Source organism: Homo sapiens, chromosome 3 (assembly GCF_000001405.40).
Source record: "Homo sapiens chromosome 3, GRCh38.p14 Primary Assembly".
Classification (NCBI taxonomy): Eukaryota; Metazoa; Chordata; class Mammalia; order Primates; family Hominidae; genus Homo; species Homo sapiens.
Window position 1 is genome coordinate 7716383 of NC_000003.12, and position 27857 is coordinate 7744239.

A 27857-nucleotide genomic window follows, 5' to 3' on the forward strand; every position below is an offset into this window, starting at 1 on the left:
AATAATACTTTTCAGAATATAGATTAGAGTTTGTAAATTGAACATTATCCAATACTATTTCCAGCAAAAGTGATACCAATATTTAGTACTTGTCAACATTTCAAAGCCAGGGGCATATATTAACAAATGGGAAAGCATCTATAGGTTTCTATGAGAAAGAAAATATGGCATGGACAAAACAGTGACTGAGTTTTTTCATACAGTGTCACAGAGGATGCAAAAATAGAATGAAATTAACAGCCCCAGTCTAGCCTGAATACCTAACATTTGGACATCCTACTCCCATGGGTTGAATGATGCTGCTGATTGATTTTGTTTTTATGGTTGGCTCTGTTACAGAAATTGACATTTGGGCTGTATTTACAGGACATCAGTACAGTCAGTTGAAAAGTAAGCAGATTCATGCAAACCAATTCCAATAACATTTTGATTAAGTAGTGAGCAAGGGAAATTGTGTGCTTGAGATTTATTGAATTTTCTGGTTGACCTGGGGTTACCTGAATCCTCCCTTTGTTTCATTTCACAGGATTGAAATCCTTATTTTCAAAAATATATCACTGTACTCTGTTTACTTGATGAGGCAGGCTGAGTGTTATCTATTTTTGCTCAGGTGGGAATTCTGAAAGGGCCTCTGGTTCACTTTTCTGACCACTGGTGCTAATTGTACAAAGACTGTAAGTGTGGAAGGATAGAATACTGCACATCTTCCTGGGATTGTCTTAATTTCTTCAAACTAGATAGTTTTTCCCTTCCTTTTTTTTCAAAATGGTGATTTTGACACACTTTCTTCTTTCCCATCTAAAAATGGATGAATTATAGATGGGTCAATTTTAGTTTTCATTTTGAAATCACCAAAAAACAGACAGAAAAGACTTCCAAAACTTACTTCTTAAAAAAAATTAAATCACACAAAGTTATTTTCCAGTAGACAGAACCACAGCACAACCCTATTGCTGACTGAAGTTTTAGAAAGCTAAAATCAGGTTGATTTAAAAAAAAAATTGCACAGGTGGTTGCGGAAGGTCTAGAAAATGCTGGTATATATTTTTTCTCCACCAGAAAACAGAGTCAGCCATCCTGCCACAGGGCTTTCAAATACATCATCTCTGTGAGCTGGTCCTTAGGGAGGCAATGGATATACTATTTTGAAAGCAGAAATTAGAAATTATAACCAGCTAAACGGAAACCTGGATTCAAATACAAAGTGGCCAAAGATAAATCAAACTCCTGTCCCATCAACTGATATGTCTTTGTTTCTTGATATCTGTTGGCAACCTCTAGCTTAGCCAGGTGCAATGGCCCACCAGCAACAGGAAGGGAGAGTCTCCAGTACTAGACAGAAATGAGATTCTATGCCCCAGTATGAGATCTTTCAGAGGCAGGGAGGAAGGAGAGAGTATTCAAGATAGACAATTCTGCCAGAGATGCTTACTATGGACAAACTCTGTTCTCTGCTTTTCAAACCCATACCTGTGTGTTATCAGAATCACTCACTGTGGCATCAGAGGTATGGTAGTACATTTCAGAAGAAAGGACCTTACATGTCATTAAATCTGCTCAGTTCCTTCACCCTTCTGCCTTACAATATTTCCATTTTCCAAGATGATGCGGACTAGCAAGAGTGACATCGCCTATTAAAAGAAGAGGTTTGCAGGGTTCACATGAACTCTGGAGTCAGATGGCCTAGCTCAGCCAACCCTGGGGCCTTGGGAGTTATACTTAACCTCTCTGTGCCTCTCTTTTCCCATCTGCAAAATGGGAGAATGAAAGCATCTTCTCAGGGAGTTGATGAGGCAGTCTGTGCATAGCACTTAGTACCATGTCTGAGCATAGGACACGCTCTGTAAATGTTAACCATCACTATTGTTAAGCAAACGCTCTTTCATCAACCATGCAATATAATCCCTTCCCTTCCCATTTTAAATAGTCCTTGAGAACAGTCCAGCTTCATCCCATTCTTCCTTCCCCTGTATATTTTTCTCACAATAAACAAATGAACCCTATAACTCACTGACTGTTTATAAAGGGTTTAGGTATAACAAAAGAGAAGGCCTTGAACCCAGGCAACACTAAAAAGACTGCAGAAAAATAATCCCTGCCTCCAGGAGAGCTCAGACTTGGAAATACGGCATTAATAGAATATAGCCAAAAAAGAGAAAATTATTCACTTAGATAGCAGGGAGTTGGAAATTGAGACACCTCACCCACAGCACACCAAGAGTACAATCAGACATAAAAATAGAAATTTAAAAAGCCAGAAGCCACCCAGTCAGAAGACCAGGCCTACCTGGGGAGGAGACTTATCCAAAGACCATCTGCCAAGTCAACAGTCTAGACTTCCTAGTTGGGAGGTGGTTGACATATTGGCCTCCAGGTCTGCTTCAGGAAACAACTCCCTGGGCATAAGGTCATGCAGGACTGATTTTTCAGACGTCACTGCCTCTAGAACAGCAGGGTCTTTGGTGATGATCTTGCTGACATTGGAGACTTTGGTATATTCATAAGTGGTTTAGTTCTTGTCCCAGCTTAGAAGTCTCTTGAAGGCTGGTGCAATGTCTCATATGTTTGTGCATCTATCACAGCACTAGAACCTGGTATGATTCATATTGGAGATTTGGTAAATATTTATTGCCTGATATTTTACCTCATTCTCCCAATGAGATGGGTGGTTGTGGTAATGGTGTGAATTTTATGATGGCTTGAGGTGACAGACCCAAGGGTATGGTGACTACCCCAGGGAACGCTATTTGGAAGTACTTGTCAGAAAATACAGTGTTTTTCTCCCTAGTAACACAACAACCCTGCTTGTCCTAGACAGCCTGGATATTAAGAATTATCCATGTTGCTGCCACCAAAAACTGGAAGTGTCTCCAAAAGTAAAATATTTCTTTATCCAAACTCAATAATCTAGAGATAGATGGCCATTCTCTGAAGTGATATGAAGATCTACTATCTAATTGTGCCCCTGCGTTTTCTTTGCAAAAATATAGTCTTCTTACATACTATCACAGTTTTGGAAAGCTCCTCACTAAAGGCCTAAGGGATTGTATTGAAGATCAATTTCAGAGTTTAGACCTCTCTAGTAAGGAATAGCAAAGGCTGGCAATCCCATGTCTTGCATCAATTTCATGTTGAAATGGTAACCTACAGCTGGGCGCGGTGGCTCATGCCTGTAATCCCAGCACTTTGGGAGGCCGAGGCTGGCGGATCATGAGGTCAGGAGATCGAGACCATCCTGGCTAACACAGTGAAACCCCATCTCTACTAAAAGTGCAAAAAATTAGCCTGGCGTGGTGGCAGGCACATGTAGTCCCAGCTACTCGGGAGGCTGAGACAGGAGAATGGCATAAACCTGAGAGGCGGAGCTTGCAGTGAGCCAAGATTGCACCACTGGGCAACACACACACACACACACACACACACACACACACACACACACACACAGAAATGATAACCTACAAAAGGAGTTCAGCCTATAAAACAAGGACTTCCAGTTGAGTTTTTATACGGTCACCCTTCTGAATTTCATTGTCTCATACAGATGACTAGCTTTTGATAATAATTATGATGGTGGAATCATAAAGTAAATGAAGATAATGGTTGTAGTAGTGGTGGTGGTGATGATGGTCATAATAAGAGTATATTCTTAAATGTCCAGCACTGTGCTACACACTTCACATACAGCATCACACTGGATCCTCCCAACAATCACTATTATCATTTTCCTCATCTTATAGACAGTTTAAAGGCAAGAAACCTGAAACTTGACAATCTCTCACAAGATCACAGCAAAGCTGGGATTTAAATCCAGGAACTTTGACATGAGCAGCCTCACCTTAACTATGACTTCATACTGCCTCTCACATTGTGACCTGGGCAATACCATCTCCTTTTTTTGAGGAATGTAAAAGTTAGGCAATCTTCAACTTTTTTTTTTCCTCCAGCCATAACCATTTCTCAAAATTTCAAGAGAAATGTAAAATTGGCCTGTGATTACATTCTTTATTTCAGATCTTCCCTCCAAGCCCAAACAAATCCTGCATTTATGTTTCAAAGCGTGTCCTGCACTGGTCCCCTCAGGAAGAAGGAAGGTGATGTTGAATAGTGGAATCTTACCTGCCAGGCTTTGCTGCCAGGGGGTATCACTGCCTAAAAGGGGGCTCCTCAGTCTCCCAGAATCCAAATATCCGTGCTAACAATTCCCCTGAATGAGTGCTCCCTGAGCACTTTACAGCATTTGCAGCTTCCTGCAACAACTTGAACATTCATGGAAGCTGGGGAGATAGAATTTCAGAAAAGAAATCAAGAGGTGATAGGTGCTAAAGATAAAAAGAACTGAGCAACAATGATGTTGTCCATAACTTTTTGGTACTTACTATCCAGCCATGTCTGGCACATAGTAGACAGCTGGAAAATGTTTGTTGAATGAGAATTACCTCTGGCTCCTGATGTCAGCCCCTCCTCTCATAGCCCTCTCTTGTCTTACCAAAACCATGATTCAGAAAAGGCGGGGATATCTGAAATTGCACTGGATGTGTTCCTTAACCTCTCTTAGCCTCAGATCTACTTTGGTAAAGTAGAGATAATGCTGGTACCTACTTCATAGAGCTTGCTGGAAGGATTAAAAGGGCCCATGAATATGAAATGCTTAGCACTATTTCTAGCACATAGTAAATGCTCAACAGATGCTACTACATTCAGAGCACAAGTGTTTGTACTGTTTATTGCATCATCTAGGACTCATGCTTAAGTTCTTAACAGGATCCATATTTAACCTCTTAATTTCTAGGAACAAAAACTATCAAGAGAAAATTTTGTTGGTATTCCTTATTTTGGCAATATTGGTTTTTTCATAAAGATTCATCCCACACAGTTTTCAGTTTTTGGTCAAATTGTATAAGGTAGACCCCTCTTTGAGATGTAACAAGTTGTTTTGGGTGTTGGATACATAACGTTTCTGGGGGAATGTGGGATTCTCAGTGATAACTGCTGAGTCTGTTTGATAACCAACCTGGGCCATATGGGCTCAATGTGTATGTACAGACATACGCCAGAGATGTGCATGGATAGCTTTGGTTGTAGTCTTTTTGACAGCATCAGCTTGGTAGTTCTCCCAGTCTTCACTTGATCAGTGCAGACATAGATCAATTCTTCACTGCAAAATTGAGTAGTGAATAAATAAACTTACTTCAGCTAACCTAACTGACATTCTTCTAGCACTAATCAGTAGATATCCAATTTATTAAACCAAAATGAATAAAATATATAAATAAATGCTCATTTATAGTCTCCAGTGACTGATTTTGCAAATGGTGTCACATCACTACAATGAGGTTCTCAAACTCAATGATTCCCAGTTCCAGTATTGCACAGAGTTGACATGGTTGTATGCAAGACTAGCGGGGCCATTGATTATGTGCACACACAATACTATTCTATAGAATAAGAAACTGTCATTTTTGGCAATTCCCTGCTTTCCCCTTTGAGTCCACTTGAATCATACAACCTCTCAAAGCACAAGATTTCGAGGTCACACTTTCACAGAGGTGGAACAGTGGCTAATGATGACAGTATGCGTGGATGGAAGTGGAAATATGTTGACAAACATTTGACAGATTCCTTTTTCAATCAATGGATGGAATGTACTAGGTGCTCTGACATCTCCTTAAACCTCTCAAGGACAGTTGCTGGCACCCTAACAGTGTCAAAAAACCAAACAACGAATTTAGTTTCATTTTATAGGCAGGCTGACCTGCTTTGGAAGGACCCCTTTCTGTCGAGAGAAAAGTACTTGAAAACACGTATCAGTGTTATATGTGTGTGCAGAGAAATTTTCCATATGCATTCAGAAGATTAAGCATAGCTAAAATATATTGAGTACAAATTTTACCAAGTCCTGTTCTAGTTCGTTAAATACAGTAACTCCTTCAATCCTTAGAAAAACCTTAGAGTTGTTATACTATAGTACTATTACTTTGTCCATTTTTCAGATGAGAAAATCAAGGCATGAAGAGATAAAGTAACTTGGCCAGGGTCATACAGCTGAATGGTGACAATCCTTGTGTCTTTTTTTTTTTTTTTTGAGACAGTCTTGCTCTGTTGCCTAGGCTGAAGTGCAGTGGCGATCTCAGCTCACTGCAATCTCTGCCTCCTGGATTTAAGAGATTGTTCTGCCTTAGACTCCCGAGTAGCTGGGACCACAGCCATGTACCACCATGCCCGGCTAAGTTTTGTAATTTTAGTAGAGACAGGGGTTCACCACGTTGGCCAGGCTGGTCTCAAACTCCTGAGCTCAAGTGATCCACCACCTCGGCCTCCCAAAATGTTGGGATTACAGGTGTGAGCCACCACGCCCGGCCCCTTGTGTTTTTCCCACTGCTCTGTTTTTCATGCTGGTGGCTATTTTGATGATCACTCCTGAATTAGAGACAGGGTCTCACTCTGTCACCCAGGCTGGAGTGCAGTGGCACTCTGAAATACATAGAGAAGACTGACTTGACAGTATTAATTCTTGGTGGTAGATGTTAGGAGATAAAAGTGAGACAAGCTCCAGAAAAGTTGTGAAGCATAAATTTTGCTTTGGAGACAGGAGGCTTCAAATTTTTTTATCATAAGACTTCAAACATTCAGAAAAGTAGAAAGAACAGTAGTATCATCCACCACAAAGATTTAACTGTTAAGGTTTTACCATGTTTGCTTCATCTATACCTATGTATTTTTGTCTTTAAACATTTTAGAGTTACCTACAGACACCAGTACTCCAAATTATTTTAGCTTATCACAAAATACAGCAATTCTCCAACATAATCATAATACCATTATCATGTCCAACCTAATTAACAGTAATTCTCTGACATCACTTAATACCCAGCTTGTGCTCTCATCTTCGAGATCCCTTTATTGCTCCTAATGGAAGGAACTCCTGAGCTTCCTCAATCTAGTCTCTCCAGACTCAACACCTTCCAGCTAAGTGCTCACCTCTGTAAGACCCCTGCTAAATTCTAGTGATGGGAATTCCAGGCTCTTGTTAGATCCCCTCAAATTACATCACAAGTTGTCTGGTCTAAGTGCAAACAGGAATGGACAGTGTGTGCAGGTCCACTAGACATCACCACAGCAAGCAGAATGTGTTTAAGGAAAGGCTATAACCCCATCAATCTGAAATAAGGAATTTAGGTAGGGCACAATGGCACACTTGGCTCACACCAGTAATCCCAGCACTTTGGGAGGCTGACATGGGAGGATGACTTGAGGCCAAGATTTCAACACGAGCCTCGGTAACATAATAAGACCCCCATCTCTACAACAAATTTAAAAATGAGTCAGGCATGGTGGCGTGCACCTGTAGTCCCAGCTATTTGGGAAGCTGTGGTGGAATGGCTAGAACCCAGGAGTTTGAGGTTGCAGTGAGCTATAATTGGGCCACTGCACTCCAGCCTGGGCAACAGAGTGAGAGCACCCCACCCCAAAAACATTTTTTTAATAAAAAATAAGGAACTTGATATATATCCCTAAAATAATTTAAGTAGTCTGAAACTCCTTGAATCTAATATACTTGTTGGAGAGCCAGTATCCATCCACCATCTCCTACCTGGATTCTAAGCTAGCTTCAAAGCAACGGACTGGCAGTGTGCATGAGAAACGAAGACAACAGAAAGCACGTCCACAGAGAATAGTGAAGATGGAAAATACGGAGCTGTTGTGAGCCTGATATGTCTGGGCACAGGCTGTGTTGCTCTGATCAGCCATAGGTGCCCAGAACCATGCCTGCCTGTAATACGGAACCATGCCTGCCTGTATTAACCACTCAAATTCCCTATCCATGAGAAAGCAACAATGAAGCAAGGACATTTTGGTTAGTGAGGCCCATGCCACAGATGCCCTCAATTTCTTCCCTCAACTCACCATGCTTGAAACATCCACAGCCATAACCGATTTCTAGTGTACTCTTTCATTTATTCAGTAGAAGCCACTCTCCTAATTCAGGCATGGAATTCTTAGGGACCTGTTCCATCCATACTTTGTCAGAATACAGTCCCTTTTCTATTTCCCACATTCAATAAGTTTAGATACTCTTCATTATTCCCTGCAATAAATAACTACTTTTTCCCGATTAGGTAACTAGAAGAACTGCTCAACAGCTAGGAGGATCAGAGGCTGTTCCTACTCATGGAAGCAGATAAGGACAACACTGTCAGTTTCCTCACCACTTTGCATCTATCTCAAAAAGAAGGTGAAAATACCAGCTGAAAGCATACAGTCAAAGGCACCAGTTTTAAGGAATACAAGTCAGAACGTTGAGTTGGGGCCTGTTTGTCATTATTTCCTACTAATCCCAAACCAAGGACCTCTCACCATTTACCCATTCCATTATTTTTGTCTTTTTGTTTCTTTAGAGACAGGGTCTCACTCTGTTGCCAGGCTAGAGTGCAGTGGCACAATCATAGCTCACTCACTGCAGCCTTGAATCCCTGAGCTCACTCGATCCTCCTGCCTCAGCTTCCCCAAGTAGCTGGGACCACAGGCGCTTGACACCAGGCCCAGCTGTTGTTTTATTATTATTTTTTTTTTATTTTTTACAGAGATGGGGTCTTACTTTAGTGCCCATGCTATTCTCAAACTCCTAGCTTCAAGCAATAATACACAGTTCTAAGTCCTGTGGATATAATTTTCATCAAGACATGAGCAGTTTACATTCCAGAGGGCAGACAAGAAAATACATTGAAATATAAACAAATTGGAACACTTCGAGAGTGACAGTGATATGACAAAAAATAAGCTGTAGTTAACTAGGGAGCAACTGGGGGTTGGCAAGTGCTGTTTCACAGAGGGGATGAAGGAGGGCCTCTCCAAGGAAGAGAAATTTAATCCTGAAGAAAGAGAAACAGCCATCTTTGGGAATATCTTGGGAAAAAAAATTCTGGAACAGATAGTTAGAGGGTATCACTGCCTCCACAGCCTCTTTTCCTCTCCTGTGGATACTTTTGGCCTGGGTTTTATGTAGAAGTAACTCTGTATGAGCTTTGGGGCCAGACTCAGAATTCTTTCCCCACTTCTTCCTTCCATTTCTATATTTTCTCCATCCTTTGAATAAATCAACTCCTGAGACATCACACAGGCACACACACACACACAGAAGTAAAGGCCTTGGTTTGGAAGAGCCAGGAAAGGTCATAGGCATTATCCTTCTGACCCAGGGCATGGTGTTTACATTTTCGCTTCTACTTATCACTGCATCTCAATGATACTCCTCTGTGGGAGGGAAGCCAACCCTCTGTAGACAGGTGTTCCCACCGGGGTTTCTTCTGAGGATAAGCTGACAAGTTCCAGTGCATTGAGAGATGCATGACTTAGTCCAGATTAGTCCATTACCTGGCTGGGGCTGTCCACTTTCTACTTTCAACAGACATTATCAATCCATTCCAGCACTTTCTCCTTCTAGGACATGACATCATGATTTACATAGTTTAAAAGCTAAAGTTATAAAACAGCTAAATAGAGATACTTTATTGAAAAAAAAATTCCACTCCAACGTTAGGGGGAGAAGTCTCTCATAGGTGTATTCAACATATGAATGCCTCAGGAAATATTTTAGGAGGCCATTTATTACATAAGGTAGGTACACATTGTGTGGGGGAAAAATGAAGACTAGACAAAATTCTTAGGGCTATTTTCCCAAAAGCCTGGAAGAAAGGGTCATTTTGTAATTAATAATGAGTCAGAATCTATAACAGTGGTTTTAAATTATTGGTCAATCTAACAAAAAATATGACAGAAGACAAAATGGGGGTATTAGATTGCGTAGGAGAGTCACCCCTTAGAGGCCTCTTCAGAGACTATTTTGCAGGAGCTCACAGGACAAAACTGGCAGAACAAGAAATTCCCTTCATCCTAAAGAGACCCTTGAAAAAGAAGAAAAGGGATGTGGCTACTCAGGCCTGAGAGACGGTCACTGTCATCTACCTATATCTTGTTGTTAAAAATAACTAATTTACTTTCAATATAAAAAGATAGCATTATAGAAAATGTAGCTTAAAAAGTAAAATGTACAAAGTAAAATGTAAAAAACATTTAATTCAACTACCCTAATAGAGCTTTATAAATCATTTCTCCCTACATTTTATTTTGAAAAGTTTAAAACTTACGAATACATTGAAATGAGGACCAACAATATGTAATCACCACTCACTAACATGTTGCCATATTCATTTTCTCCGTCTCTCTCTCCCTCTATATATATATATATATATATATATATATATATATATATATATATATATATAGGTTTTCCCCATTAGCTGTTTATAAGCAAGTTGCACACATCATGACTGTAATACTCCTGAATAATTCAGCATGTACCTCCTAAGAACAACTTTGTTCTACAAAACCTCAATATCATTTCTCATCCAATAAATTTAATATTGATGTATTATTATTTACTATAAAGTCAAGATACGATTTTCCCAACATGGCTGTTTCCTTTAAAAAAAAAATCTATGTTGTAATCAAGGATCATGCATTTTTAATCTTTTTGTTTCTTCAGTCTCCGGTAATCTAAAACAGTCTCATCACATTTTGTTTTGTCTTTTACAGCGTTGAAATATTTGAAAAGGTCACCAGTTTTCTTATGGCTTTTAAAATTTTGATTTATTTTCTTTCATATTTTTGATGCAGTTTTAATTACAGAATACTCACAATTTTCAAACATGTCCTTTTGTACTAAATATTATTAACAATATAGCACATAAGCATTTTCTATGTTGCTCCATAATCTTAATCATCATTATCACCTTTGACAGGTTTAAAATGCCCCATCAAAAGAATGTATTAGAATTTAATCACCCTTTAATGTTAGGCATTTGGGTTATTTAAAATTGCAAATTATATTGTACATCATCATGAACATCTTAATGCAGTTAACAGGGTCCTTTTTTCACATTCTTAATACATACTGCTTTTCAAATGCATGTTGCTTGTACTAAATCATAGATTGACTAAATTTTTAAAAATGATTATTGTTCACATTAAAACAAAAAACAATAAGACACCCTGAAATTCACTGGTGTTTTAATTTTAGTTTCTTTGACTCAGAGGAGTTGCTATTAAATAAATTAACAAATGTATATGAAATATAAGCAGAACACAAAAGGAACTGTAACTCCAGAGTTCTAGTGTTGAGACTGACACATTATGTCCCAGTCTGAGTGTGAGCTGGTCAGCTTCATACACACGAGAAGCCTATGTATGAGAAGTGACTTACATTCTCAAGCTTCACAGTCAATGCCGACCCAATTTAACCACATAGGCTTCTGGTCTGTTAAATCTTTGAGGACAAAGACATCTTACTCCCTCTGTATCCCCAGCAACCTGTGCTTAAAACTTAGTAGATATTTGTTTTATATTGGTCGAGCTTTGTCTCACTTCTCCTATCTATCCTAGGTCCCAACCTTTCCATCTCCCATGGCCAAGATCCCAACATACACAGTCCTTGGGACATTCTAGCCATCTTTAATCCTAGACAGAGCTGCAGCTCTGCGATTCTGTCTTTTGCCTGTCAGGCTAAGCCTAGTTGGATTCCAAGAAAGGAAAAAATAGTTAAGTTTCCCTTCATCTCTTCTCTTTTCCTAGCCAGGAATCTTTCTGGTTTCCTCTCCTTTGAGCCCTCTTGGTCCTCTGAGATCCGCAGTCAAAACAAGAAGCCACTGAACTTAACAGGACTTGACTGTGATGGCACACACGTACCCTTCTCACATTAAAAACAAAGAAAAGAAAAAGTAGCTCCAGCCTCAAGGATGCTTTCATAAGAGGACATTGTTCCCAGACCGAACCGGGTCTGGCTGTGTGTTCTTGTGGCCCAATAACAAGATGCAGACAAACTGGAAAAGAAGAGAGTTTATGTCTGTAACCAGGTAAAGGGAGAAGGTCAGAGATAATTCACCAGACCAACTCACAATTGTAAAGTTTTTCCAGTGCTTATATATGTTTCAAACTATATACCTACATGTAGTAACATACTTGCCGATCTCTATGCCTGATTAATTTTGTTGTAACTGAAAGGTAAGAGGCCAGAATTATCCCCTAAATCTACTTGACCTATGAGGGCCCTGGTACTGGAGTGATTACTTCTATCTTATCTTACCTACAATTTGGGTATGGAAAGTTACTTCAAACCCCCCAGAAATTTACTCAACCCAAGATGGGTCCCAAGGAGCACAGGACTATCTTTATTATCTTGACTTACCCCAGGTTTCAGGAGAAGCCTGAGCAAGGCTCTTATGGAACATGTTTCATTTCTGGCTTTGGTGCCAGGGCATCAATTTCCCTAGGTTTAATTATTAACTTAATGTGAAGGCAGATGCTGTGGAAGTTTGCCTGTATAACTGGAGTGCTATGGAGGCCTGTCTGTGTGACTGTTAGGAAGAACTGGTCTGCCACACCACATGGTGTTGGTGAAAGCAGCGGCATCTCTATTTGCTTGTTCGTTTAGAATCCCACTGTAGTACTGACTTGGAATTCCACTAACACATAGTGCTAATTATTCCATCAATTCCTAGCTGGTCTTCTTTCTTGTAATTGGCACCTCCTACCTATGGAGATAAGTAAGAAACAAGTCATCCTCTCTGCACCTTGGACAGCAACCTCAGCATAATGCCCTCAGGCTTTTTTTTTTTTTTTTTCCCCATAGTTTTGGGGATTCCATGACATTGTAATACAGTTGATTCTCAGTATCAGTAAATTTTATATTTGCAAATTCACCCACACGCTGAAATTGATTGGTAACCCCAACATCAATACTTATGGCGTTTTCACAGTCATTCACAGGAATATACAGTGCACCAAACTATTTGAATCACCCAATGCACGCATTTGCAGCTGAGGTCAAAAAGGGTGATGCCCTACCTTCTGGTTTCAGCTCTCATATTTGAACGTGTCCTTTTCTCAGACTATTTAACACCTGTACTTTTGGTTGGTGGTTTTGCAGTTTAAAATAACTCCTATACATATTACTAAAGTGCTGTGTCATATTCCTAAGTGCAAGAAGGCTATGATGTGTCAGCCTTCAGGAGAAAGTACATGTGTTAGAGACGCTTTTTACAGGCATTTGTCAGCTCTGATTTCAATATTACTGAGTCAACAATATGTAATAATAAAGTGTTTTTAACCAAACATATACACAAAATAAGGTTATGTTGTGACTGGAGGGGTATAGGTAACTAACGCTGTATTTTGCTCTAGAAGCAGTGGTTCAGTATTCAGTAATTCAGTGTTTGTGGTGATTTTATAGAATATAAGTGCCGTGAATAAAGAGAATTGGCTGCATCTACTTTTGTTTTTTGTTTTTGAGACGGAGTCTCACTCTGTTGCCAGGCTGGAGTGCAATGGCGCAATCTCGGCTCACTGCAACCTCCGCCTCCTGGGTTCAAGGGATTCTCCTGCGTCAGCCTCCTGAGTAGCTGGGATTACAGGTGCATGCCACCACCTCCGGCTTTTTTTTTTTTTTTTTTTTTTTGAGATGAAGTCTTGCTCTGTCGCCCAGGCTGGAGTACAGTGGCACGATCTCAGCTCACTGAAACCTCCACCTCCTGGGTTCAAGCAATTCTCCTGCCTCAGTCTCCCAAGTAGCTGGGATTGCAGGCGCCCACCATCACACCTGGCTAATTTTTGTATTTTTAGTAGAGACAGGGTTTCACCATGTTGGACAGGCTGGTTTCGATCTGTTGACCTTATGATCTGCCCACCTTGGCCTCCCAAAGTGCTGGGATTACAGGCGCCCACCACCACACCTGGCTAATTTTTGTATTTTTAGTAGATACAGGGTTTCACCATGTTGGCCAGGATGGTCTCAATCTCTTGACCTTGTGATCCGCCCACCTTGGCCTCCCAAAGTGCTGGGATTACAAGCGTGAGCCACTGCACCTGGCCTGTTTTTTTGTTTGTTTGTTTGTTTGTTTTAAGATCTGTCTTTCCAAGTAGAATTTAAGCTCTGTGAAAGCAGGGACTGAACCTGCACAGTAACATGGCTACATCCCTATTGCCTAAAACAGTATCTGACAAATAGTAGGTGCTCAACAGATACATGTTGAATTGTACTGAACCAGAAACTGTTCGAGGATATGGACTATTTTTCCTTGCTTCTGTGCCACTGGTTTATAGCCAGGCTATACTAGTACACTGTGAGTTCTTAGTAAAAGTTCAATAAATGTATAAAGGAATGAATGAAGAGACTATGAATGTCTTATCCAAAAATAGCAAGACCTGGATTTCAGCAGGAGCTTTTCATCCAGGAACACTAAGTACTACTCTGCTGCTATTTTGTCACTATTGCCTTGTTTGTAACATTAGCCTTAAGACAGACTTTGGTTCACAGCTTCGATCTTTGATGTATGATTGCACTGCATTCATAATATGCTCCAGATTGCTTGCATCTATAATATATTGAAATTATAAAATGCACAAAAGCTTTTCAGTGCCCAAAGTGCATAAGAAAAAGTAGAAATCTGATGTGGTAATTTAATGCATATCTATTTTTTTCCAAAGTAAAACATATACACCATCAAAGTACCTAGATTTTAACTTAGCCAAGCTTAAAGATGTTTTAAGACAGAGACTTTGTCTGTTTGTTTCAAATATGCCATTTAAGAACGACGTAAACCTCTGTTTGATGCTTTACATCTTAAAGTACAAATTAGTTTTTTCTTTTGTTTTTTTTTTTAAGAGACACTAGAACGTTCATGTACTCTTTTCATGACAGAACTGAAAATTGATTTCTCAATTTAGCCAGGCTGTTTTGGCCATGTTTAGATGCAAAAAGAGGGGGAAAAAAAGAATGCTGTGGCTGAAAAGTTACAAAGGAAATCTGATGAGTTATAATAAGGGTTAGCTTTAAATACAGTAACCCATAGGAGAATACTGAAAAAAGGGATGGAAAAAAAGGATGGCAAAGCTCATGAAGTTCCCACATATTTTTCTTTTGTTCTATTCATCTCTAAGACCCTCCTAGAGCTGACAATGACTTCAGAGAGCAAAGTGAAACTGCATTTGCAAAAGTTATATCAGTGAGAAAATTCTAACAGTAAGCGAGCTAACTCAACCCCCATCTTGTCTTTCCCTTAATTATTGCTGGGCTATTGGGCCAAGCTAACTTTGGAAGACATTTAGGCTACAATTTAAATGATAATAGGCCTTGCCCAAAACTCAACCACTTTTGTAAAGCTAAAGGGAGGCCACCAGGCTAGGAGGAGGAGAGGGAGAGGAGGCTGAGTCCTGCTAAGGCTCAGACATGCATGATTGTCAGCCATTATTCCAGAGATTCTAAGACATGCAATTTCCCCAATTACACCTGCAAATAACACCACAATTGTAGACTGGCCTTTTGAGATAGCTTTTCTGTTTGTTTTGCATGTCTGACACTCATGGCTCCCCGTGGATCGCCAGCGCCCCCACTCTTGTGGCCCCACCCAGAAGCAATTTAGTCCTCAGGAAGACAGCTTTGGCCCACTATTTCATCTCTGTCCCAACCAATCAGCAGCAAGCATCTGTTACCTGGCCACTCCCACCCCTTCCCTTAAACTGTCTTTGAAAAACCCCTAACTTGTGAGCTTTGAACGAGATAATATGAGTGCAAACTCCATCTTCCACGTGGTATGGCCGGCCTCGTGTCTATTAAGCTTTTTTTTGTTTGAGACAGAGTCTCGCTTTGTCGCCCAGGCTGGAGTGCAGTGGCGTGATCTTGGCTCACTGCAAGCTCCGCCTCCCAGGTTCACGCCATTCTCCTGCCTCAGCCTCCCGTATTAAGCTCTTTCTCTATGACAATGCTGTGGTCTTTCTTTATGCAGTGGGCAGGAAGGGCAATTACAAAAGGCTTCTCTATGGTAACACATCCCAAAAATATTGAGTGCCAACTATACATTGCACACTTCCCAAGCACTAGAAAAAAACTGTCTCTGCCATCCTGATACTTAAAGTTCTAATGTCAGAAACACACATGAGAAATTAGTGCTTCACCCTGGTTGTGTATGAGGAGGGAATAGTAGAGAGGTCATGAGAGGGTGCAGCAGGAACATCTCACTTGTCTGGAGGGATAGGAAGGCCACTTGGAGCAAGTGACTAGAAACTAAAACCAACCAGAGCAAAGAACAGGAAACCAGTTAAGGAAAAAAGGCAAAGAAGGACATTACCGAGAGGGAAAAACTAGTGTGAGGATCCTCTTCAAAACTGTGAATATTTCCCTGTGGCTTCTCAAGTACGACTGCTTTAGCATTAAAGGCTTTTTATGAGAACGTTCATTAGAAAGCTAAATAATCATAGACATTCTGACTTGTTCATTCTTCTGTTTCTGGTACTGTTACTGAACCACACTGGTACTGGTACTCTCTGATCCAGACCCCAAGAAAGGGTTCTTGGCTCTTGCAGAAGAAAGAATTCAGGGTTAGTCCACAGTGCAAAGCGAAAGCAAGTTTATTAAGAAAGTAAAATAAAGAATGGCTATTCCATAGGCAGAGCACCCCAAGGGCCGCTGGTTGCCCATTTTTATGGTTATTTCTTAACTATCTGCTAAACAAGGAGTGGATTATTCATTCCTCCCCTTTTTAGACCATATAGAGTAACCTCCTGATGTGGCTATGGCATTTGTAAACTGGTGGGAGGGTAGCAGCGAGGATGACCAGAGGTCACTTTCATCACTGTCTTTGTTTTGGTGGGATTTGGCCTTACTGCATGCTATTTTATCAGCAAGGTCTTTATGACCTGTATCTTGTGCCAACCTCCTCTCTCATCCTGTGACTTAGGCTGAGTAGTCATCCTAAGTAGTGATGTAGGATTTTTACTCCTTATTTCAGTTAAATCCAGGTTCTTATCTCACAACCAGGAAGAATTAGGCACATGAACACACTGAAGAGTGAGGAGGGCAGAATTTATTAAGCGAAAGGAAAGCTCTCAGCAAAGACAGGGATCCTGCAAGCAGGTTTCCACCTCACAAACTGAATACCAGGGTCACCACACAGGAGCCAAAGATGCCAGGCTCTTCCCCTGAATAAGATGTTTGTTTCTGGTGGCTCCACCCCATTCCCCCAGTGCATGTGGGCCTCCAGTCCACTGCCCCCTTGTCTGCACAAAACATCTGTTGTAAACACTTGTGGGGTGGGTCAGATTTTCCGGGGACCCTTCCCTATCTGCCTAGCCATTTCTCTGCCTCCTGCCTCTATCATTAGAGTACCTTAACCTCCTGGGAATGCAGCTCAGAAGGTCTCAGCCTTATTTTACCCAGTCCCTATTCAAGATGGAGTTGCCCTGGTTCAAATGCCTCTGACACTACCCTGAATTTGTTATGACAATCTGCAGGTTTATTGAAGTTTTATTTATTGAAGTAATTTATGTGGCCCTGCCTACCTTTCCAGCCTTGACTTCCAGCACTGTCTGACCCTCCTCTCCACGCACCTTTGGAAACAAAGTATACCTTTATATTGCCCTGCCCTCTTCTTAAATTGTCTCACACTGCATGGTCCAAATCAATGCCCCTTCCACTGAAAAGCCTTCCCAGGCTTAGCACAGTACATCCTCTTCCAAGACAAAATTAGTCTTTGTAAAATATCTTTAAGCACTCATCACAGATATGTAATAGTTTTTTTGCATTATAAGTTCTATAACAATAAAGATTGTATCTGACTCATTTCCCTGTTCCTGGCACAAATGGGGCAAACACTTCACACATTTTCTCTAAGGTTATCTAGGCTGATGCTTCTCCATTCTCTTGAAGTGGATCACTATTTTCTCCAAATATGGTAACAGGTTTGCTGCCTCACCATCCACTGACCTACCTCCCTTATTCACCATTAGGAAGGGGTGCCAATTTGCTTTGGCAGGGGCGGGGGGGGGGTTTCCTCTCAATGTGAGTTTAGTTTATAAATTCATGCTTTATCTTCATCTCACTGAGTAGAAAAAAAGGATATGCCAATCCCTTGCTGATGACACATGGCAGCTTTAATATATTTGTTAAAAAATGTGAATATACAATGAATGAGAAGTGAGTAAATGTTAAAGTGAACAGCTTACAGATTCCCATGTCTGCTTTCAATGTTAGCATGTAGTAAAGTTCCTGGTGTTTAATATGTGTTAAGTAATATTTTGTTAGATGAATGGCTGAGTAGTCAACAGAAATCCAGATTTGGGAGTTTTTGCCACTGGATTGGAAATTATGGTGATTTGAAATACTGAGTTATTTTTCTGACTGATCATGTTTTTACCCCTGCCAAGTTTCTTGTGTCAACAAATCCAGGTACCAAACATATGAGCAATAGCCTCACATTCTCCTGGGAGATGGAGAAAGTCTCCATTGTTTTATAGTTCAGAATTGAACTGGTATAATTGGGAATGTCTCCATTTTTTTGGTAGTCATGTTCTTCATTCTTTAGCTTTGTATCTTCTCAAGTTGAGGAATGTGCTAAACTGAGTAGTAAATTTAAAAAAGGATTTAAGAGAGATCATTATAAAATGAATTGCTTCTTCTTTGTAAGATACAGGAAGTTTAGTAGCTTTCTTGAAGTCTCAAATGAGAATTGAGATGTTGAAGAGAACATCTACTCTTTTGCTATTTAGTGATGGGCTAAGGGCAATTTACTAATGAAATGAACAGGCAGGAAACAGGCCATTGACTACAGAAGTAATTACAAAAAAAAGTACTTCTTTTTATTTTAGTAACTGCAAACCATAATATAAAGAATCCCTCCCAGTTGAAATAGTTATAAGTAAACAACAACTGTGAATCATGTTTAATAGGGAAGCATTAGTTGGCAGAGTTGGTGGGGGAAGAGGCACAGACAGTGCTTTGAATGGTTTCATACAAAAGTTAGTTTGGACAAAGTTGTATCAGGCAATAATCCAACATGCAGAAGTTTGGTGAGATTTACAAATGACTAAAGTGATAGGCAGGGTTAAGGTTTAAGAAATATCCCCATGTACTTCCAAAAGTATGTTCTTACATAATGCAAAATGATCCACTAAAAAGGGGAGCAGGAGAGGGTGCAGACAGGATTACAGAGTTGAAAACAAGCAGCCTAGAGATGCTATCTAGCCTCTGGTCTCTATTTCTTTTTTGATTTGCTAAATGGTTTTAATATGCTCTTAAAACTTTTATTGAAAACTGAGGTATTTCTAATGCTCAGAATATAGCCCAACACATAATACATGCTCAATAAATATTTGTTAGATGGCTGAGTGAAAAAATGAACTTTTACATAAAATTATACAGTCAAGCTCCTCCTCAAAAAATGTACTATAAAGTCCTATTGTGGTAACATCCCACATAATTATGCCTTTTAGATGGGGCAGGTGATTTCTAGTTCACTATGGTCTGTATCCTTCCTTAATATCTTACACCTGGCTCACTTTGCACCTTTATGTGCCTAGCCTCTGTAAGAGAATTTTTTCTTGGAGAATCACACAGAAAATTATTATATTAAAGGCTTTTGAAATCCTAAGCATGTCTATGTGTACATATGAAAGTATCTCAGGTCTAGATCTAGAAGTGAAATTGCTGATTCAGTGGTATGCATAGCTTTAGGTTTTCTAGATATTTCCAAATGGCTCTCCCATATAAATTTACCAACTTATATTTATACCTTAGTGTTGTCTGAGAGTTCTCACTTTTTCACACCCACCAATGCTTGGTATTAGTTCATTTTTTCTTTTGTAATGGTACAGGCATTAAATGCTATCTTATTAATGTTTTAATTTCCACTTCTCTAGTTGATGAGGTTGAACAATTTTCATTTATTTGATTTCTTCATCTACAAATTGTCTATTCATCTTGAATCTATGTTTTTAAAAATTAGATTGTTTCTTATTTATTCCTTTGCATAAGTTAAAAAAATTTAGATATCAATCTTTTGTCAGTTAAATACATGACAAATGTTTTATCCTGCCCTATAGCATTGTCATTCAACTTTGTTAAAAATATTGTTTTGTAGGTATCATCTACTGCAGCATTGCTTATTTCAAAAACATTAGAAAGCAGAGTCTATCAATAGGAAAAGAGTTACAGAAAATCTGTTATGCTAACATTAATATATAGAAAGCTATATAGTTACTATGATTATTAAATCAATGTAAGTAAATCTTAAAAACACAATGTTATATGAAACCAGATTTCAAGTGGATATGCAAGGAATAATTTGCACAACTTAAAACACAGAAATCCATATAGCTATAGTTTATGGACAACACTGTAGTAGCAAGAGCACACATCCCAAGTTCAGGATAGTAGATACTATGGGGGGATGGGGAAGAACATGGAGTGTAAAGGGCTTTGATTGCATCTTATTTCCTATGAGTGGATGGAGGGGCACCTGAATCAAGATGTCAGTATGTCAAAGTGTTATATTCAGGGCTTATATAATATTTTGTTATATTTTGTTTTTATCCTTTTTGGATGTTTAAATCACTTCATGTATGTTCTTATTCACATACACATCTATACACACATTCTTCAAAAAGAGCTGAGGAGAACACATGGTATATAGTTAATAAGCTACAGTATTTCTTATCACTTAAAATATAAAGAAATTAAATATGGGGTGGCAACAGGAAAGAGTACTGTTTAATATCACTTATTCAGTGTTTCTCAACATAATATCTATGAGGCTCTCTTTTCTATATTTTTCTTCACTTCCTTGAATCTGGGTTACGCGTGTTCCATAGAATGCACTTTGAGGAATGAAATTTTTGTAAGACAAAAAAGCTCAGAGAAAAGCAAAGATAAAGTAAGAAGCTCAATAAAGTTAATGTCAAATTGAGTGTTGATTTTGACAAGACATCAAGAATGAGTTGGAATATCTTACCTTTCTTAAGTAGCAATGGTGTATTAATAATTCATTTCATAAACCAGTATTCTTAACACTACCTCACTGTAAACATTGACTCTTCAGGATACCTTGTTTTGAGAACTACTTATGTAGATAAGTAGATATAACTTTAAAAAGTTAATAGGGACAATGCCATATACTATTATTCTTTAAAATCTGTAACTTTATAAGAGAAAAACATACTATTTTAAAATAAAAAGTATATTTCCTTAGCAAGTGCTTCATTGCGCAACTATTTTGAGCTCAGTAATTTTCTTTCCTGACCATAAACTACATTTCTAGTGAAATAAATGGAATTATCAGACACCACAGGCACTTATTTTATTTACTCACAGGACTAGAATGGTTTAAAAATAAACCTAATACATTGGACATTGCTGTGAAAAGTACACAAATTGCCCTTCTAGGACCTGCATAAACTTCATTATAATTTTGGGGCAATGTTCCTAGCAATTCTGCAAAGAAAGCATGTACTAAGCCTTATCATTTGCATAGAACTCTGTAATTTAAAAATACATTTATACATTATATTCCCAGATGAGAAACGGGTATTTTGTACATTGGTGATATCAACAGTGCACCAGGTAAAAATTATTCTCCCAATTTTTTTTTTTTTTTTTTTTTGACACAAAGTTTCGCTCTTGTTGTGCAGGCTGGAGCGCAATGGTGCAATCTCAGCTCACTGCAACCTCTGCCTCACGGGTTCAAGTGATTCTCCTGCCTCAGCCTCCCGAGTAGCTGGGATTACAGGCGCCCGCCACCACGCCTGGCTAATTTTATGTATATTTAGTAGAGATGGGGTTTCACCATGTTGACCAGGCTGGTCTTAAACTTCTGACCTCTGATGATCCACCCGTCTCGGCCTCCCAAAGTGCTGGGATGACAGGCATGAGCAACCATACCCGGCCTCTCCCAATTTTACAAAGGCTACAACGAGTTCATTATCAAGACACTGGGCAAGGTCACATTCAAGTAAGTGACAGAGCTGAATCAGAACCCAGGTCAGGTGAGTCCAACTGCAGTATTGTCTTCCTATTATAGCATGGAGACAGAAATAAAGATTCAACCATCAGGCAGCCTAGTTCTGGATTGCTTGTTCCTCTGAGCCTCAGACCCCTCCTATGTAAAATGGAGATCATAAACAGTGCTCATCTCAAGGCCACAGAGAACACAAGAAGATAATCTAAGTAAAGCATCAACGGAATGCCATTATTTTTATATCCAATTTTTTTAAACATAACCTCATCGTGATTTTAACTTAATCCCAGCCAATGCTCAGCTTTACAATTTGGGGATCATATTTTCTAACCTACTTATTCTTTTGGTAAAAACTCTTCCTGAGAAATTAGTGTTTTATAGTAATCAATTTAAGGAAATTCATTTTTGTTTTTACTAGACAGTTATGCTACAGAAAACAGTCTTAATTAATCACACAGTAAAGGTGGTCTCAGGTATTTAGGTCAGTACAAGCTTCTGGGTTTTCTTTTTTTTTTTTTTTCCCCTTCTTTTGTCCTGAGGATAATTAGTGTGTTGATATTTGACAAGGCAAGCTGTGACTATTGCTTGCAACTGTCAGCTGAGATCTTCTAGCTATGACACTGAAAATAAGATTCAGAGTCAAGAAACATCTTTTGAAAGTTTTCCTCCTTGTACCCAAACCAAGCGTATTGTTGAAGACAACACTGGGATAATGGGAAACTTCCTGGAAGATTTGGGCATTATTGAGGCCATGTGTTCATCAAATGAGGACATACGGTGACTCAGTTCTCATCACCAGATTTTCCAGGAGGCCCTGAATTTCATAAAATTCTATTCTTATTTACCTTTTTGTATTTTAGTTAATAAATTCAGTATGGTTTAATATAGAAATAAGTTTCAAACAAAAATGAGGCTTCAAGTCAAAGTTTGTCAGAGAATCCCAATTTTTAATCCAGAAAAGAAGACCAGGCTTGTTGTATAGTGTACAGTACCCTGTGTAAGATCTATAATCATGTATGTACCTGTAACGTACTACTTGTATTATTCAAAGTTTAAATACAAACTCTCAGTATGTTAATATGACTTCTCCGTTCCTCCAAAATTGTATATGAATCCCTGCTTAAGAGTTCTTGAAGAGCTCTTGACATTTCTCTGTCTTGAGTGAACACTTCTATTTAGAATCTAAAAACAGTAAGCAAAATAAGCCATCAGTAAATGCTACACAAAAGTTACTCTGTGCCCAATAGAAACTGATGCAAAACTACCAAGATTTAGTGAATAAAGAATATATCACATCATTGCAACAGTATGACTTGGTATTGAGGACTAGAACCTAAACCAAAGGCACACTCTGGGATCCTGGTGTCTTTGTTTCCAGCATGAGGACATGAAATCTGCTGTGCTCATTGGCTGGTCTTCAGTGCCTAGCCCTGTGGCTGCAATACAGTAGATACATATTTACTGCCTGAGTGAGTGAGTGAAGGTGAGTCCTGAAATCACTGTACCAAGTAGAAAAATAATTTCTACATTTAGGGAAAACAAATGTAGAGTGTGTATGTGTCAGACACCTGACAGGTTTAAGTGAGCTTTACATCTTAATGGAAATAGTTCTGCAAATGACCATTTATAACTTACAGTTAACACTATACAAGTCAATCTGTAGTCTTTTGATTGTGTGAATCAGCACTAAAGAAGACACTCTGACCTAATCTGCATTCAACCTCAACTAATGTCAGTGACCCAGGACAGACCTTTTCCAAGCAAAGGCCAGTTATTATTAAAAGGTCTGTGAGAAGAGCACACAACGAAATATACCACAGTGTGAGTGAACCCTTTAAGTTAAGGGTTGATTGATTAGAAAGCATAACAACCACTGATAAATTTATTAATAGAGTATAAAGAGGGAAGCTGGAGACATCTCAGAGAAGAGAACGCAATTGATTTGAGAATCACTGGGAACCACAGATTTTGGTGGCCAAAGCCTTAGAGTCAGAGGAATCCAAAGTTGTCTGTGTGTGTTCTTCAGAGCTGTATCACCTCACTTTGACTTTGCACCTCAAGTGAAAAGTTCTAATTCTATTTCTACCTTTGCAAACAGGGTTATTACTGCAACTGACACTTTCTAATTTTTCTTTCAGGCCCTGCTGCAAAAAAGAAGTATGTCAGTTATAATAACCTGGTTATCTAACCTGTTCCATTCCATGGAACCATGGAGGAGGAAGACCCTCAGTTATTTTGTCACCCAACCTGGCATAGGACTCTTTGGTCCTACCCGCTTCCCATCACCGGAGGAGCTTCCCCGGCCGGGAGACCAGTGTTAGAGGATCCAAGCGACCTAAACAGCTGCTTTATGAAATATCCTTACTTTATCTGGGCTTAATAAGTCACTGACATCAGCACTGCCAACTCGGCTGCAATTGTGGACCTTCCCTACCAAAGGGAGTGTTGAAACTCAAGTCCCGCCCTGGCTCTTTAGAATGGACCACTGAGAGCCACAGGACCGTTTTGGGGCTGACCTGTCTTATTACGTATGTACTTCTAGGTTGCAAGGTTTTGAAATTTTCTGTACAGTTTGTGAGGACCTTTGCACTTTGCCATCTGATGTCGTACCTCGGTTCACTGTTTGTTTTCGAATGCCTTGTTTTCATAGAGCCCTATTCTCTCAGACGGTGGAATATTTGGAAAAATTTTAAAACAATTAAAATTTTAAAGCAATCTTGGCAGACTAAAACAAGTACATCTGTACATGACTGTATAATTACGATTATAGTACCACTGCACATCATGTTTTTTTTTTTAAGACAAAAAAGATGTTTAAAGACCAAAAACTGTGCTGAGAAAGTATGCCCCACCTATCTTTGGTATATGATAGGTTACATAAAAGGAAGGTATTGGCTGAACTGAATAGAGGTCTTGATCTTTGGAATGCATGCCAGTAATGTATTTTACAGTACATGTTTATTATGTTCAATATTTGTATTTGTGTTCTCTTTTGTTATTTTTAATTAGGGTATATGAATATTTTGCAATAATTTTAATAATTATTAAGCTGTTTGAAGGAAAGAATATGGATTTTTCATGTCTTGAGGTTTTGTTCATGCCCCCTTTGACTGATCAGTGTGATAAGGACTTTAGGAAAAAAAGCATGTATGTTTTTTACTGTTTGTAATAAGTACTTTCGTTAATCTTGCTGCTTATGTGCCAATTTAGTGGAAAAAAACAACCCTTGCTGAAAAATTCCCTCTTTCCATTCTCTTTCAATTCTGTGATATTGTCCAAGAATGTATCAATAAAATACTTTGGTTAACTTTTTTATTTTCTGCAATAAATATTTTTAGTTGTTTTTCCCATTAGTTACAGTTTATTTCATAAAGTCCTAAGTTAGAGAGCCATATGGACAGCCCAACTTTTTCAAGTAACATGCTTTAGCTCACGACTACAGCCATTTCTGAAAGGCATATTAAAAACCCAGAGGTGCTATGTTGTCTCATAGAAAAAGTCCTATCACAAAGTCCATGCAATTTTTTTCTTCGTAATTGAAGTTGAGACCTGATAACTCCAGATGTCTACTCAGCAAGTGGGAAGGGAAGAGGAAATATTAGCTTAAGCAAATAATAGTCTGGGGGCAATTTAGTGAAGAGATAAATATTTCTGCAAAATTTATCCAAAGGACATAAGTAAAAATAGCTACTATGTTGTCTTTGTATTTGCAAACAAATATGGTGGCCATATTATCAGTAGTGAGATTAAGACTTGGGATTCTCAAAACTCAACTGCAGGAAGTATCATCAGGATGAATTCATAGCACCTTGGCCCATCAGGAACTCAGAAGATTGTCTACTTGCAGAGGGGAACATTGGTTCCTAGTACTCAGGGCCGGGCCCCAAACAGTAAAATGTATTTAAAGGTTCTATGGTGGAGCTAACTGTGACTTATTTTCTGCTGTGACTAATAAAACTCATACCTGCATCTCATCTTTGGCATCTGCAGAACTCTTCCTACTGTGCCTTAGCTCCCACAGCCCAAGCAATGTGCTTAGAGACACTAGAAATTATTTCTTTTCAATATCCGACTAAAGAAAATCAAATGTATTTCCCCATTTTTCCCTACTCCTTAAATACCCTTCAACCAGTAGACCATAGGAAAATACAAATCAAAGCAGAAATGAGTTTTGGGTGATCCACATTTCCAAGTCATAAGGCCAAAGTGGTATAAAACCTGGCTCCTCCTCCTGCTAACTCTCCTTGGAGAAGTTACATAAACATTCTGAATTCTCCATTTCCTCAGGCAGATGACAGGTTAATCGTGCTACCAGTCTCATAGTGTTATGAGGGCTAAGAGAAAATCCATGCGTAGGACATAACAACAGTGCCTGGCAAATGGCTAACTCTCCATACATGTTAGCTATTATGACCACATGGCTATGACCACCAGCATCAACATCATCATGGTTGCTATATTTTCTTTTAAAAATAAAATCAAGTGTGCTATGCTTTCCATTCCAGACATGGAAAGAGAAACTTAAAAAGTACATGGGCAAGCCAGACTGTGTTGTGGCATGTGGTAGAAATCATTTCTTTCAAAAGAAATTATGTAAGAGTCTTTCCCGAGTACTCAAATGTACAACCATGCATTCAGGGAAGTAGCAAAAGCAATTCCATCTAGAATTGGAAAGAGCTACTTTCAAAGACCTTTGCTTTTCCTCTGGATTCCCAGGGGCAAATTGAGATAATGATCTGGATAGCGACAATGATAAAAAGTAAAACTTTTGCAGCACAATTTTTAAGAAATTGTTACTCATATATATAATATACTTTACATACTTTATGCATACTACATATATTACAATGTATACCTTATATATCAATTTATTTAGTCCTCAAAATGCAGTTCTAATCATCTTCCACAATGCTAATCTCCAACCCAGTAGTTAAGGTGTGGCTGTAGCCATAGAACAGATAGATTGGGTAACATTATCAATACCAGGCAGCACAATGAATACTCACTTCCCTCAGGTATGCAGGTCTCCTTGCTCTTCACCTGTACCAGGTATACCCCACCTCAAAGTCTTGGCATTTCATGATTCTCTTCCTAACACACTCTCCCCGAAATAGCTGCATGATTCTAAATCCTCATTTATTTCCAGTTTCTGCTAAAACATCATGTCTAAGGTCTTTCCTGACCATATCTAAAAGTACAGTCCTCCACCCAGCCCCCCAGTGAATCCATTAACCTGCTTCATTTTTCTTTACAACACTTATGATTATCTGACTTTTCAGATTTGCTTTCTTGTTTTCATCAGCCTCCTTCTGCAGTATTCACCAGGAGATCAGATATTCTGTTTTGCTCACCGTAATATCCTAGCACTTACAACAATGCTTGACAAGTGTTAGGGGTGGAAGGTATCTGAATTACCAGCAGCAAATTCATACATGTCTGCAGCAACCTCAGTTCTTACCTCCTCAGAATAAAGAATTCGACTAAGGGGCATAAGGTAGAGAAAGAGACCAAGACAACTTTCAGAGCAGAAATGGACATTTATTTTTAAAAGCTTTAGAGCAGGAAAGAAAGGAAAGTACACTTGGAAAAAGACACCATGAAGGTCAAGTGCAGCCTTTAACCTGGATGACCCACTCCCAGTGTCTTGAGACCCTTTCCCATAATTCTTCCCTTAAGATGGGCTCCCTGTATGCACAGTGCCCTCTTTGCCCACGGGAAGTGAGCATGTGCACTGGGTTAGAAAGTTGTATGCATGCCCTTCTGAGGCTTTCTTCCCTTTTCTGGTGGAGTGCCCTCAGAAGGTTATACTCCAACATTTTGTCTTTTAATTTGCATGCCTGGGAAGTTGCCTCTCCCTGGTGTCTGCATTTAATTAACACTTTACTGTGACAGCTGCGGACCTTCAGGAGATAAGTCTTTCCCTGGTGCCGGCTGGCTACCAAATTATCATTTTTAGAGAGGCAATGTGATACCTATTGAACCATAACCTGATAATTGCCTGACATTATTCCTGGTAGGTCG

General features: G+C 39.2%; 1 protein-coding gene across 4 annotated transcripts in view; it reads left to right on the forward strand.

Moving 5' to 3' along the window:
- GRM7 (glutamate metabotropic receptor 7) overlaps window positions 1-25151 on the forward strand; it is an 880419-nt gene extending 855268 nt beyond the window's left edge. For all 4 annotated transcript variants that reach the window (NM_181874.3, NM_000844.4, XM_017006272.2 and 1 more), the window contains one exon: window positions 23975-25151. Coding sequence is in view for 2 of the 4 variants with exons in the window: in NM_000844.4 (NP_000835.1) it covers window positions 23975-24024 (50 nt within the window). In the remaining 2 variants the exon portion in view is untranslated. The remainder of the gene's footprint in view (window positions 1-23974) is intronic.